The sequence below is a fragment of the Homo sapiens genome, chromosome X, assembly GCF_000001405.40.
Source record: "Homo sapiens chromosome X, GRCh38.p14 Primary Assembly".
Taxonomy (NCBI): Eukaryota; Metazoa; Chordata; class Mammalia; order Primates; family Hominidae; genus Homo; species Homo sapiens.
The window spans coordinates 15,697,006-15,712,396 of NC_000023.11; the positions used below are offsets into that span (position 1 = coordinate 15,697,006).

At 41.6% G+C, this 15,391-nt stretch overlaps 1 long non-coding RNA gene and 1 pseudogene across 6 annotated transcripts in view; both read left to right on the top strand.

Annotated features, from left to right (window-relative positions):
• Positions 1–6,716, top strand: part of CA5BP1 (carbonic anhydrase 5B pseudogene 1) — a 28,806-nt pseudogene extending 22,090 nt beyond the window's left edge. For 3 of the 4 annotated variants that reach the window (NR_160541.1, NR_160543.1, NR_160542.1), the window contains exon 4: positions 235–1,077. The product of NR_160541.1 is annotated as a carbonic anhydrase 5B pseudogene 1, transcript variant 2 (transcript). Of the gene's footprint in view, positions 1–234; positions 1,078–5,776 lie in introns of those variants that run through there. The other variant, NR_026551.2, reaches the window with a different exon arrangement.
• Positions 1–15,391, top strand: part of CA5BP1-CA5B (CA5BP1-CA5B readthrough) — a 112,954-nt gene that overhangs the window by 21,548 nt on the left and 76,015 nt on the right. The window lies entirely within an intron of this gene.

Here is a 15,391-nt window from a genome sequence, read left to right on the forward strand (position 1 = left end):
TTCCCTTTTTGCCACAGCCTCACCAACATCTGTTGTTTTTTGACTTTTTAATAATAGCCATTCTGACTGTTTTAAGATGGTATCTCGTTGCGGTTTTGATTTGTACTTTTCTGATGATTACTGATGATGAGCATTTTTCATGTTTGTTGGCTACTTGTATGTCCTGAGAAATGTCTGTTCATGTCCTTTGTCCCTTTTTTAATGGGGTTGTTTTTCTGCATTGCATTTTAAAAGGAAAATTCTCAGTCTCCCTTGAAGAAGTGAAGCCTCCTTCTTTATGCACTGGCCACTGTCTAATACCTCCCAGCAATACTCAGAGGAGACTACCTGCTGGAACCTCACTAGAATTGAGAGATCAAATGGTTTTGGCTGTTTTCCCACTGGAGAATATAAAAAATACACAGTTAATTTTAGAAACAAAGGCTGGGCATGATTCCATCCTAAGCAGCAATTCTTCAGGTAGCTGCCCAGAAGGGCCTGGAGCTCCTCTGGACCACTGCTGATCTCCAGATACTCCCTGAGAACCGTCACCTCGGCGTCCAATTCCTGAGTGGTTTTCACTACTAAATAATGACTCAGTGACCCAGTCTCTTGGCCAGGACGCTGTTATGGAATTTGGGTCGTTTGGCACTTCCTGCCTGGTGCCCACCTGTCTAGATTACTGGACCCAAGTAGGTCCAGTATCTCCCTGGTCCAGCCCTGTCTTGAGTCCATCACCTTTATCATTAAGAAGCAGCCAGTAGAGGTTGATGATGATCAGGTACGTTCTCTCCACAATTTTCATCTAAGGAAATCCTCGTCTCCCCTTTTAAAACAAGGCTGGGCTCAGACTGTGGCATCAGTTTTAACATCTTGTAATGCTTATACATTTTTATTGAAGTGTACCAACGTCTTATCTCAGTTTGGACATGAATTTAGAGATATTTCAAATTAGCTAGAGAGAAGAGTTAAAACATAGAAGAACATAAGCTTTTTACATCTATATTTGACAGTGACATATGTTTTTATTATACATGCATTGTGTAGATTCTCTATGAAAATTAAGACCCTTTTAAATAAAAAAACGAAGGCTGGAAATGGGTGTATTCAAAACCCTTTAAAATCCTTAAGGGAGTTTTGCTATAGAATCTCAGGATAAAGACAGACTCCGACAATATTCATCCAGAAATTTTCATGTAAGTCAGTTGTTTGAAACTTGGGATTTATTTTTCTCTTAGAAACTAAGTCTAAGTGGTGGTTACTACATCAGCACACAAAATCCTGTTTAATTCATAAACTAAACTGTAATAATAACTGCGTTTACTTGTTCATATTGGATTTTTATTGACTAAAAGCTTCCAGCCTCTTTTTCATGCAGCCAGGATAACAGTGATACCAAAACCTATCAAAGATTAGACCATCCTACCCCCAAAATATAACAATAGGCCAATATCTCTAAAAAATATGTAACAACAGAAAAAAAAGCTAAATAAAATAGTAGAAATAGAATCTAGCAGTGCATTAGAAGAAATATATACTTTGTCCAGGTAGGGTTTATTCCAGTAATCCACAGATGGTTCAGTACTAAGAATGATATACTTACAATTAATGGATTTCATCCCATCAACAAATCTATATGATCATTTCCATGGATTTCCTAAAATACGTTAGACAAAACCCACCATCCCTTTAAAAATTTTTTTAATAAAACAGAAATGAAGAATTCCCTAACTGGATGAAGTAGATTTATCTCAGCTCAAAAATAAATAGTATGTTTAATGTGGAAAGGATATCATTAACTCCATGGTTATTAGCATACTAAATATTAAATTTAATTGAATTAACCTCTGGCAGGAGCCAATAAAGTTAGGCCAAAAAACATAAAGAACATTAGAGAAACACTAAAAACTCCTACAAAGATAATTCAGCAATTAGTGGAGTACCATGTCAATTTATAGAAATCAATTCCGTTGGCATATATAACTCACAGTTAGTTAAAAGACATAACAGAAGAAGGAAACCTACTTATAATAGAAACTAAAATAATGTTAATAAACAACATAAAATGTTAAGAAAGCTATAAAACATTTCTGAGGGACACAGAAGACTTGACTTTATAAAATTCATACCCTGTTTTTACATAGGAAGATATTATAAAGACACCTTTGATGTCAGTTCTCCTTAAGTTGATTCCATAAATTTAATATGGTTTTAATAAAAATACCAACAGAATTTTAAAACTAGATATAGTACTTCTAGAGTTCATGTGGAAAAGCAGATAAGCATGAATAGCTGGAAAAATTCTAAAGGAGGAAAATAAGGAATGATTAGACCCATAAGGCTTTAAAGCCACAATAATTAAATAGTATGATACTAGCACATGAATAGGAAGATAAATCAAGGAAGAAAATAGTTCAGAAATATGTCCAAATACATGAGAATTTACTTTATGGTAAAGATAGGATCTCAGCTCAATGCAGGAAAAGATAAATCCAGTAAATGGCATTGGGGGACAACTGAGCAGGCATTTAGGAGAAAAAGTTGGACCCATCGTTCAATCCTGACAAAAATATATTCTGGATGGAACAAAACTTTAAAGGTAAAAAAATGCCATAGAAGTACGAGGATAAGCATAGGAAAATTCTTTCATACATCCAAGTGGAGGAAGCTTTTCTAACTATAAATCAAAACCCAGAAGTAATCAAGAAAACAACTAGCAATTAGACTACATACAAAAATTTTAAAATCCTTTCTGATGAAAATCACCGTAAACAAAAGATAAATGACAAACAGGGAAAACATTTGCAACTCTGTTCCCTCATTCAGCTACTATTTATTCAATGCCTACTATATGCCAGCTACTCTTCTAGGTGTTTGAGACATCATAGTGAACAAAACAGAGAGTTAATTGCCCTAATATACAAAGAGTTTCTAGAAATCAGTTTTTAGATAATCAACAGCAAATGGTATAAACAGACAGCTTACAGTTAAGGAAACAAGAAACCCAATACCATGTGAAAAAATTTTCAGCCTTGCTTATAAAAAGTGACGAAACAAGATGAAACTACACTGAAATACAAATTTTCACATATCAGATTAGCAGAAACCCCAAAATTGTATTGCTCACAGTGCTGGTACAAGTGTGGAGCATGGGCAGCCTCATGTGTTACTGGTAGGTGGTAATGACACATGAATAAAGATATAATAGGCTAAAAAGTATGTTGTTTTACTAATAGTTAATTACAATATCAAAGGAAGATACAATGCTAAGTTGGTACTATTGTAGTAGCTATCAGAGTGCAGTTTACCAAACAGCAATTTATCCTACACATAAACTGCAGACCTAAACAATAATACATATACATAGTTATTCTTTGCACCATTGTTTGCAAACAACCTAAATACCAGTCACCTCTATGGCATTCCTCCTCCAAAATTTGTATTCCCTCATCTAAATCATGAGAAAAGACAAAACCAAACTGAAAAAGGACTTCTACAAAATACATCACCAGCCGTCTTCAAAAGCATCAAGGTCATGAAAAACAAGGCAGAAAAACTCCAGAGTGGAGGAGACCAAGGAGGAGTAGGTTCTGGAGAAGACAAAGGACACTTGGGCAATCTAAAGTCTGGAGTTCACTTAACAGTATCAACCCAATGTTAATTTCTTAGTTTGATGAATGCATCGTGATTATATAACATTAGAGGAAGCTGGATGAAAGGTCTCAACCTCAGCACCACTGACATTGAGGGCAGATCATTCTTGGTTGTGGAGACTGTCCTGTGCATTGCAGGATGTTTAATTGCATCCCTGGCCTCGACTCACTGAGTGCCTATAGTACCACCTCCCCAGGTCATGACAACCAAAAATGTCTCCAGACATTCTCCACTGTCAATTGCAAACTCACCCCTTGTTGAACACCACTGATAGACACTAATCCCTAATATCAACTAACCAATGAAATGCTGTACCTCTTGTTGTATGAGAAGAAGAAACAGACATCTTCTCAAGTCTATGAGAATGGCTTTTAACTAATCAACACCTTGATTAACCAGTAGAAGGCATATTTAGTGATGATTCGCTTATGACTGCCTGTACCTCACCGGGACAAAATTGTGGTTTGTTAGAGAGTCTTTAGCCACAAACAGAATAACAACCACTGGCTTATATTGCAAAAAGGATATGGGAAATTCTATAGATATTGGAAAGAAAAATATATTATAAGAAGTCTAGGCCGGGTGCGGTGGCTCATTCCTGTAACCGCAGCACTTTGGGAGGCTGAGGCAGGCGGATCACCTGATGTCAGGAGTTCAAGACCAGCCTGGCCAACATGGTGAAACCCCGTCTCTACTAAAAATACAAAAAATTAGCTGGGCGTGGTGGTGGGCGCCTGTAATCCCAGCTACTTGGGAGGCTGAGGCAGGAGAATTGCTTGAACCCGGGAGGCGGAGGTTGCAGTGGGCCAAGATCACGCCATTGCACTACAGCCTGGGCAACAAGAGCGAAACTCCATCTCAAAAAAAAAAAAAAAAAAAAAGTCTATACCTACTCTGATGCCATTATCTTGAGATGTCTTAGATATGAATAAAAAGTCATTCCACTCATTATGAGAACTGTCTTTAGAAGAAAATTATACTGAATTATACCATAGGAATATCTCTAGGTTTTGAAAATCATATACCCAGAGATGATTCCATAAATAAGGAATCAGGCAAAAAACCAAAGGAATTCATTGGTGAGAGGAGAGTGTTAGGGATCTCATTCCCCTGCAACTACTGGCTGACCCCAACCCTGCATTGCAAAACACTTGGCCCCCTCTGACCTCAAAAAGCATTTGGTGCTTCCTCATTAAGCTCTATTTATTGTCTTTACTATTCACCCATCTGCCTCAGTCTGGGCCAAATCTATTGCCCAATCTTCAATTGGTTGCGACTTTTTTGTCTCTTCCCGATTCTGGCATTCCAGAGGGTCAATAGGTTCCTTCTCCACGTGCTTTTGAGGGAAATGCCCCCCCCCCAAAAAACTTTTCACACCACCTTGAACAGACTCTAAACTTAGGCACTACAGTTACTAAGCAGCCTTTGGATTCTTTGTTTTTGAAGTTAGATCTTTTCAGCTATTAGTGGAAAATGTGCCTCACTCTACTCCAGGATTACCAATAGAAATGAAAGGACAGAAATGGCATTAGTGTTTAGAGAAGATTATGTATATATGGCTGTATGAACACTGAAAATTATGAGGGTCAACATAAAATCAGCATTACAGGTACTAAAACATAAATCCTGATGGCTTTCACCGTTTTCTTAAGAGCAAAATTGCAAAAAGTGATATTAACAGTCATCCTAGACGAATATGAGCAAATGATTTGTTTTTCCTTAAAAGAGCCTCCAAGTGTATTGTGATCATTTTCACACTGATCAAAGAGAGCACCCTTCTGTCAACAGGTATCTGCAGTTTTCAGGACCTGGCAGAAATTCTTCTATGTTCTGCCTTTAAAGGTCAGGTACAAAAGCAGAGACAGCTGCCAGGCCCCTCTGCCCAGAGCTAAGTGTCTGGGACCATGAGTGGGAAGGACTGAGGCTTGAGCCTCCTTGGTCCTCCAGACAGCATGGGGCGCCACTTGCCCCTTCTGCAGCTGCGCGCGGCAAAGCTGTGGCCTGGCCGTGGCCTCCTGCCCCATGCAACAGTTGGTGGACAGACCGTACCTGGCACACGGCGCCTTGTGCACTTTCCAACATTTTGATGCTAACCGTCGCTAGTCACTGAGCCCTGACATTTGATCTCTGGCCTTGACCGCAGATTTCGGAAACTTCTGGCAGCCCAGTGTCTACTGGAAGGCCCAAGCCGCTTGCCAGAAAGCTGCGCCCCGCCCAAAAGCACTGGGTTCTGCAGTCCAGGCCCTTCCTCAGCTCCCAGGTCCAGGAGAACTGCAAGGTCACCTACTTCCACAGGAAGCACTGGGTCCGCATCCGGCCCCTCCGCACCACTCCTCCCAGCTGGGACTACACCCGCATCTGCATCCAGAGAGAGATGGTCCCCGCCCGCATCCGCGTCCTGAGAGAGATGGTCCCCGAGGCCTGGAGGTGCTTTCCCAACAGGCTGCCGCTGCTGAGCAACATCAGGCCTGATTTCTCCAAGGCTCCCCTGGCCTACGTGAAGCGGTGGCTTTGGACCGCCCGCCACCCCCACAGCCTGTCCGCAGCCTGGTGACCGTGAAAATCGCCCCGCCAGAGAGCAGAGGAAGCCCGACGCCCAGGCCATCTGCCTTCAGGTCTGTGATGAGAAACGGAGTGGCCTGTTCCGTTGTGCCCAGGTCTAGGCCGCTGAGCAGAGCCCTCACTCCCAGGCAGAGTTGTCTGAATCCTTCCTGGCGGCCGCCTGCTGCCCTGACGCCTCAGGCTTGCCTGCACCTGGAAGGAGCTTCGCCAGGTGGGCCATGAGCCTCTGAGCACACCCAGCCTGCTGCCCGGCTCCAAGAGTCAGGCCCCTGCCACCACCTCCTGAGCCTCCAGCCCTCAGCACCTTCACCCTACTGACCGCGGTTCTACCCCCACACCAGCCACCGGCCCCACCGGGGCACTTCCCACTGCTCCAGCCGACCACTCAGCGAGCCCCAGGCCCACCTCTCCTCTCCCTTAAAGCCCTTCCCTTGCCCTTGCCCATTCGCTCCTGCCTTCTCCCTGGGGACAGGAGGCATGCTTCTCCCCAGTTTCCACAATAAAATATTTGTTGTTAATAATAATAGGTGTCTTTATTATCATAGAGATTGTCATATTCTTTCTTTCAAAGACGACACCATGGTTTCTCCAGCTTGGCACTACTACTTGGGCCAGATGGTTCTTTCTTGGTGGGGGGGGGGAGGGGGGAGGGGAAGGGGGAGGGAGGAGCGGGAAGCTGTCTTGTGCATTGCAGGGCCTTAGCAACATCCCTGGCCTCTCACTTCTAGGTGCCAGCAGCACACTCACAGTCCTATCAAAAATGGCTCCAGGCGTTGCCAAATACTCCCTGGGAGGGTAGAGAGGTCAAAAGTCATACTGGTGGAGAACCACTGAGGAACAGTGACCTCTACTGGCAGAAACAGGCAAGCCTAGTCCCCCAAAATGTGCGGTTTTCTAATACATATCAAAGACGTAGGGACAAACCAAATGAAGTGGCGCATGCTGGACAGAAAACATTTTCACCAGTTTTCTAGAATGCTTGGGGTGTGAATGATTCCTGTGGTCTGGTCTTACTAGCAATCAGGAAATGCAAAATTGTTACAAATGAGCTACTATTTTAAACGTTTCAAATTGGCAACAATTTAAAAGTTAAATAATACCAAGGGCTGGTAAAGACGCATGGAATTGGAATCCCAGGTGACGCTGTGGAAGCAAGGAGTCCAGCCACTCTGGAATGGCATTTGGAAGTGATTCCCAGAACAGAAAACGCAGCTACCAGAAACCCTGTGGCACACATACACAGACACTGGTGAGGATGTTCTTTGCGGCACTCGTCACCATAGCAGAGAATTGGAACAACCCAAATGTTTATCAGTACGGGACTAAAGTAAATATAGTATATGCTGTCGAGGGAATACTGTTCCACAGATTAAAGGAAAGAAGCCAGGAGCAGTGGCTCACGACTGTAATCCCAGCCCTTTGGGAAGCTGAGGCAGGCAGGTCACTTTGAGTTTAGAAGTTTGAGACCAGCTTGGACAACATGGCGAAATCCTGTCTCCACAAAAAATACAAAAATTAGCCGGGTCTTGGTGTTGCGCGCCTGTAGTCCCAGCTTCTCAGGAGGCTGAGATAGGAGAATTGCTTGAGTCTCGGCGGCAGAGGTTGCAGTGAGCTGAGATCACGCCACTGTACTCCAGCCTGGGTGGCAGAACAAGACTCAAATAAAAAAAAATATAAAATAAAAAAAAAACAGGAAAGAAATAGCGCAGGGTTTCTCAACATCAGTAGAACCAGGCTAGATAACTCTGTGTGAGAATACTCTGTGTATTGTAGGATGTTTAAGAGCAAACCTGGCATCTGTCTACCAGATACCCTTAGGACTACCAGCAGTTGTGACAATCAAAAATGGCTCCAGGCCTATAATCCCCGCAATTTGTGAGGCCAAGGCAGGTGGATCACTTGAGGCCAGGACTTGGAGACCAGCCTGGGTAACATGGTGAAACCCTGTCTCTACTAAAAATACAAAAATTAGCCGGGTGTGGTGGCACATGCCTGTAATCCCAGCTACTCAAGAGGCTGAGGCACGAAAATCACTTGAACCCGGGAGGCGGAGGTTGCAGTCAGCTGAAATTGTGCCACTGCACTCCAGCCTGGGTGACAGAGTGAGACTCCGTCTCAAGAAAAAAAACAACAACCAAACAAACAAAAACGGCTCCAGGAGTTGCCAAATATCCCCTGAAGGACAAAGTCACCCGCTGATGGCAACCACTGAGCTAAGAGCTACTTTTTTTTTAAAAAAAGGATAAATCTCAAAAGTACTTTCAAATGAAAAAGATTGGAAGTATTTTGTGTAGCACAATGCCATTTATTCAAATAATATATTTTATTACATAATATAGTGCTTATAATTTAATTCATATTTATATTTTATTTATATACTTATATAGCAATTGTTCATTATATATGAATTAAAATATTCATAAAATTGAGGTATTTTGAAATCTTAATATGTAATATATTCTATATTAAGTTTAATATAAAGATTTCATCATATAAATTATATAAAAAATATAAGATTATTTCTGGCATGATAGAGGAGGCCAGAAACCAGGTAGGAGGTAATTTGGATACCTTACCCATATTGTTATTTTTATCTAAAGCCTCTTTAAATACTGTTCAAACATGAATCACATGGTATTCCCCTTTAGAGAGTCATAGAATATAGCCATAAACTAAAGCAAATTCCCTTCTCATGGAGCTTGCTGTCTAAGGGGTTGGAGACAGACGATAAACAAGTAAGTAAATGCATACACTGCATGCTGGTGGAGGGCAGGAAGGCAAGTGCTATAAAGAAAAATAGGGAGGGTTGCATTAAACTCTCAACCCAACTGGGGCCCCACATACTCTCCTTGTCCCAATTACCATGGAATGACACTCTTACTATGTATGCAAGTTCATCAAATATTTCAGTGTTTTCTTTGGTGGCAACTCATACTTTAATAGAGTACCACACAAATAAAATGAAGATACTTTATCTACTTAGAAATAAAGATTCCCATAAGATTTAAATTGTTGCTGAAAATATTAAACCTTACATTTTCAATGGAGACAGTTTTGGTTACACACAAAAAGTCCTGGACTGAAGCTCTAAAAATCTAGCTTTTAGTCTGAAATTTTCCACTCCCCCATCTCTGTGATTGACAAGGCATTGCAATGTGAATGAGGTACAAGAAGGGGCTTGGGTTCTGTGTGCATCAATGGTGACACTTTTGGCATTTTGGGTGGGGTACTCCTTGTTATGTAGGACTGTCCTGAGCCTTAGACAACATTAATTATTTGTCTAAGGCTCAGGACAGTCCCACATAATTAATCCCCACCCTCTAAATACCATAGCACTCTCCAGTCATGGATATAGCTCCAAAACAACCCCTCAACATTTCTGGATGCTGAGGCAAGAAAGACTTCTAAATCTTTGACATTTATTTTCACACTCCACTTGCCTGCTTCTTGCCAAAAATTTTCTAACAACCATCTATAGTTATTCAGCAAGGGCTGGTAATTATTCATTCATTTATTTGGGCTTCATATTACTTTCTTATTTTTTTCATATTACTTTCTTCTTGTGAATTATTTCACTTTTAGAAATTTTATTCTTTGTATAGTTTTAGAGTTTACACAATAATTAGTTCTTTGAAATGCTGTCTTGCTCATTTGACGTAGCTTTTTGTGGGCGTTAACCCCAAAGCTGCTTTCCACAAGACACATCTGAGCTGTCAGTTGTATTAAAATATAATAGTGAGTGTGTGATAACACAAGTCCATAAATTGCTTGACACTCCTCCCTCCAGAAGTGAAGCTTAGGTCTCCTCCCCTAAGTATAAGGGTTTAGAGATTCCCTTCTGACAGTTACAGTTTGGAAAGGGAAACTTGACAGGCACCACGTGATCCAAGGGATCAAGGTGAACTTAACAGTGATGTCATGTGCATATCAGGGACCCTGACACCATATGCTGAGAAGGGCACTTCACCTCATTTTCTTCTCCAATAATCACTGTGTTCTGGCTAAATTATGAGAAAACAGCAGATAATATCCCGTTGAGAACTTTTACAAAATACCCAGTCAACCCTCTTCAGAAGCACCAAGGTCATGAAAAACAAGGAAAGACTGAGAAACACAGAGTTGGGAAGACTAAGGAGAAGGAGATCTAATCGCCTATTGTAATGGATGCATCCTGGTTAGGTATAATAATAGCATTAGGGGAACTGGGTGAAGGGGCCAGAGCAGGCTTTCACAACCTCAACATTTGGGGCCACCTCATTGCTGAGGGAACCATCCTATGCTTTGTAGGAAGTTTACCAGCATCCCTGGCCTGCACATGCCAGCAGTACATCCCTTTCACCATAGCCCCCTACCTGGCCAAATAGTGAACCCAACAGTAAGTACCTCTGTATAGTTCCAAATGTTCTGGGGTGGGGAAAGGGCACAAATTGCCCCAGGTTCAGAACCGTTGTTACACAGGAACTCTATCTCTGCAACTATTTTTTGAATCTAAAGTTATTTTAAATTATGACATATATATGTATATGTATTGATATGGTTTGGCTTTGTGTCCCCACCCAAATCTCATCTCAAATTGTAATCCCCATGTGTCAGGGGAGAGACCTGGGGGGAGGTGATTGGATCAGGGGACAGTTTCCCCCATGCTGTTCTCATAATAGTGAGTTCTCATGAGATCTGATGGTTTTTTGTTTGTTTGTTTGTTTTTGGTTATTGGTTTATTTGGCTGGAGTGCCTTGGTGTGATCTTGGCTCACTGCAACTTCCGTCTCCCAGTTTCAAGCAATTCTTCTGCCACAGCCTCCCAAGTATCTGGGACTACAGGTGCATGCCACCATGTGTGGCTAATTTTTTTATTTTTAGTAGAGACAGGGTTTCACCATGTTGGTCAGGCTTGTCTCGAACTCCTGACCTCAGGTGTTCCACCCTCCTCGGCCTCCCAAAGTGCTAGGGTTACAGGTGTAAGCCAAAATGCCCAGCCAGACCCTATGGTTTTAAAAGGGGCTCTTCCCCCTTCCCTCGCCTGCCACCATGTAAAAACGTGGCTTTGCCTCTCTCTCGCCTTCCACCACAATTGTAAGTTTCCTGAGGCTTCCCCAGCCACGTGGAACTGTGAGTCAATTAAACCTCCTTCCTTTGTAAAATACCCAGTTTCAGGTGGCTCTTTATAGCAGTGTGAGAACGGACTAATGCATGTGTATATCTATAAATTGATATATAGATGTATTTTAGCAAGAGCTAAGCAGTTATTGAAAAAGTTGCCTAGGCACTATAAATTAAACTACAGATAATGACATAAACCACTGGATAAATTACAAGTTCTGATTGGCATCATTGATAATGACATAACAGCTAGAAATATACTTTGAAAATAGTGAGATATATTCAAATGCAAGATATTGGCACCTGCCAGGTGCAGTGGCTCATGCCTGTAATCCCAACACTTTGGGAGGCTGAGGCAGGAGGATTGCTTGAGCCCAGCAGCTTGAGACGAGCCTGGGCAACACAGTGAGACCCTATCTCTACAAAAAAAAATTTTTTTAAACTAGCTGGATGTGATGGCATGCACCCATAGTCCCAGCTACTCGGGAGGCTGAGGCAGGAGGATTGCTCAAATCCAGGAGGTTGAGGCTATAGTGAGCCATGATTGCACCACTGCACTCCAGCCTGGGTGACAGAATAAGACCCTGTCTCAAAAAAAAATGTTTTAAAGACGTTGGCACCCATATGTTGTAAGAATAGTCTTAGTAATTATTCAAAATTTTAAAAACTTGGCTTTTTTCTAGATGTCCAATGCACTGTCCATTGCATGACAGAGCCAAAACTTAGCTTTTTTCTACATTCACATGTTTCATATGTTTGTTATTATGCCATCCACTATACTAATGCCTTAAGTAGCACCATTTCTGTCATTTCTTACAGGATTGGCATTAGGAAAAAAGGTGAATAGTTTTACTTGCTTAGGGTCTTTAATGGAAGAATACTAAACATCCCTCCTACATTATGGTGCTGCCAAGAGTAGTAAAATCTCAGATTTTAAGAAAACAAAAAAGTTACTTTGGGCTCAATAAATAGCAGTCATAAAAATATACCTTTAGAGATGTGTTTATATTTTGTTCACATACATGCAGTTGAACTAGGAATTAATAAGCCCACTTCCCACAGTAGGAATGTTGTGGGAAGGGGGCCAGGGGAAAGCCTAGCCCTGCTCTGAAAGCAGCAAAGGCTGTATATGAAGATGGAGACACACTCTGGGCTGGTGCTTCCTACTTGCTTGGATGATGCTTTCAGAAACTAACTGACGTCTTGGCCTCCCCAAGAGTAAGAAACCGAGGTCCAACAAGAGCTAACACCCAGGCAACAGGGAACTGCTTCTACTCTGGCCATTGTGTGCCAAATCCACCATGGGAGCATCCTCCTATGGGACTGAGGCGAAAAAGAGAAAGAAATTGTGGGCGGGGGTGGGGGTGGGTGGGACACTGTTTTCTTGCATCCACTGCACCTCAATAGACAGGCCTCTGGTTTAAGAGTCAGGATGTTAAACATGCTTCATTCACTCACAACTATTTACTAAGAGCTAACCTTGATTAGCCAGTATGGTTAGGAAAAGAGTTCCTACTACAGCGGCCTTTAGATTCCATGCCCCATCCCATGCAGGAATTTAGTGATGCTAAGACTCTTGAAAACCAAGACCAGAGTCTTGAGCCCACCAGAGCATTAAATACCAAAGTGGAAGCCAGTAACCCCCACGGTGGCAGAATTTGCACATAGTTCCATGCCCTATGTGAGAATAGACCCAGGACATGGGGAGGACAAAGAGCTTCTAGATTTCACATGGCTTGTCTGCATTCTTTGTCAGGAGGGTCTCTAATCCCTGCCCTGATTTGAACTTCATGGCCTCCAAGCAAAGAGCACCTATTTTAATTTGATCAGTTGCAGGGTCACTAGGGAGACTATCAAATACTTTGTCCATCAGCAACAAATAGATTTCTTTGTTCCCTGGGACATGAGAACATGAGACCCAAGTCTTTCCTGTGCAGTGAGCCCCTGTATTCCTGAAGCTTGGCCCATGTGGGTCACTCAGTAAGTGACTGTGAAATGAGTGGATGGATGACAAAAGGTTAACATCTCGCTGTTTCTGGAATTTTTCCCCAAGAGACCCTGTCAAACATTTAGTTGGGTAGGAGCTGCATTAATAAGAGAGGGAAGAAGGAAGAGAGATTACTTCCTTAAAACTTCCCCTACCCGGATACAAATATTCAGAGACACATCATAACAAAAACTATAGTGAAAGGAGAATCCTGAATATACTGTAGATTGAGGTAGCCAAAAGGAATTGTAAACATAAAGCGAGAAAATTTGTGCTAAAAGAGAAGTCACATGAAGAACACAGCTCAGTAGTTAACTTCTTTAGCTATCAAAGGATAGACATTTCTTCTCATTATAAATTTTGTACAACTAGTGACTTCATGGTCTTTCTTCCAAATGTCACTACATTGAATGTCCTCCAAGATTTTCAGAGAATGAAAAATTAACCAACAAGCACTTGTTCAGCTGGACATGTCTTTAATAAACAAACCAAAGTACCATTAGTGTAACTAAATAGAAATCCTGCATTTTCAAGGTGTTAAATATAGATGAGTCTGATGAATTCACTTCAGTAATCATTTTGACCAGTGTTTTTACCAAGAAATTATATTAACTCAGACACAAATGTCTTCTTTAAGCAAGTCGCGAAAAAGAGGTAAAAGTGTTTACTCTCCTTCCTCAAGTGTGGGAAGCCCTGGTCTGAAGGTTTCTCTAAGAATTGGCTCCACTGCCATTTTTCATCAATGGCGCTAGACAGGGCCAACTGCCTCCAAAGAGTAGTAAGAATTGGGCTCTTGTTTTTGGAAATCAAAAGAACTAAATAGGCACTGGGCTGCTGTTTTACAAGCACAAGACTGTTAATCCCCTTACCTTGGATACAGCAGCACATTGTTCCTTTTTAGATCACAAGATTCATCCTTGAATAATTAGGTAGAGGCAGAAATCCATTATATATCCTACACCATTTAGCTCAGAAAAAGAAAGCCATGCCTGAGCTAGACCTCTACCTCTCTTGCTAAAAATGATAAATTATCTAAAAGCCGACATTTGAGTAAACTAAGCAGATGAATTTCCCAGTTGACCTGAGAAATAGTCAGGGGCTGTAGATAAATAAGAGAAGGAAGGAGAGAGAAAATTTCCCAGTTGACCTGGGAAATAGTCAGGGGCTGTAGATAAATAAGGAAGGAGAGAGAAAATTTCCCAGTTGACCTGGGAAATGGAGTAAACGTTATAGCTTCCTTAGAAATTACTTTCAACATTGTAAAATCCTTGTGACATCATTTTAGTAGATCTGGCCTAAATCTTATAATTAGTTGAAACACCCAGTTTTTCAACCAATAACTGCAGAGTTGACATTTCCTATGTAAGTCCCAAGAAAACCTCAAATAGAATAACCTATAGATATTAGAGCATTCTTCTATCAACTAAGTTTTTTCATCTACCATTCTACTTTTTTTTTTTTTTTTTTTTTTTTTTTTTTTTTTTTTTTTGAGATGGAGTCTCACTCTTGTCACCCAGGCTGGAGTGCAGAGGTGTGATCTTGGCTCGCTGGGACCTCAGCCTCCCAGGTTCAGGCGATTCTCCTGCCTCAGCCTCCTGAGTAGCTGGGATTACAGGCACGTGCCACCACGCCCAGCCAATTTATATATTTTTAGTAGAGATGAGGTTTCACTGTGTTGGCCAGGCTGGTCTCAAACTCCTGACCTCAGGTGATCCGCCTGCCTTGGCCTCCCAAAGTGCTGGGATTACAGACAGGAGCCACTGCGCCCGGCCTATCTTCCATTCTGCTTTTAAGGAAAACCAGCAAATAACAAGAAAACCATTTAATGTAAAGATTTGTAAATAATCACTTCAAAAGAAGTGCCTTGTTGCTGTCACATTTAGTCCATCTTCATATAATTCTTATCTGGGCCAGTTTCTTGGGCATGGGACATGTGCAGTTACACAAGCCTGTGCTCTTAAGAGGGTCTTACCCATAGTTTAATGTTCTGCTGTTGTAGTCTTGAAATTCTTAATGATTTAACAAGGGGTCCTCCATTTTCATTTTGCACTGGGCCCTGCAAATTACATAGCCCATCCTGATTTCTACAACTATAGAATAGCACAATGGG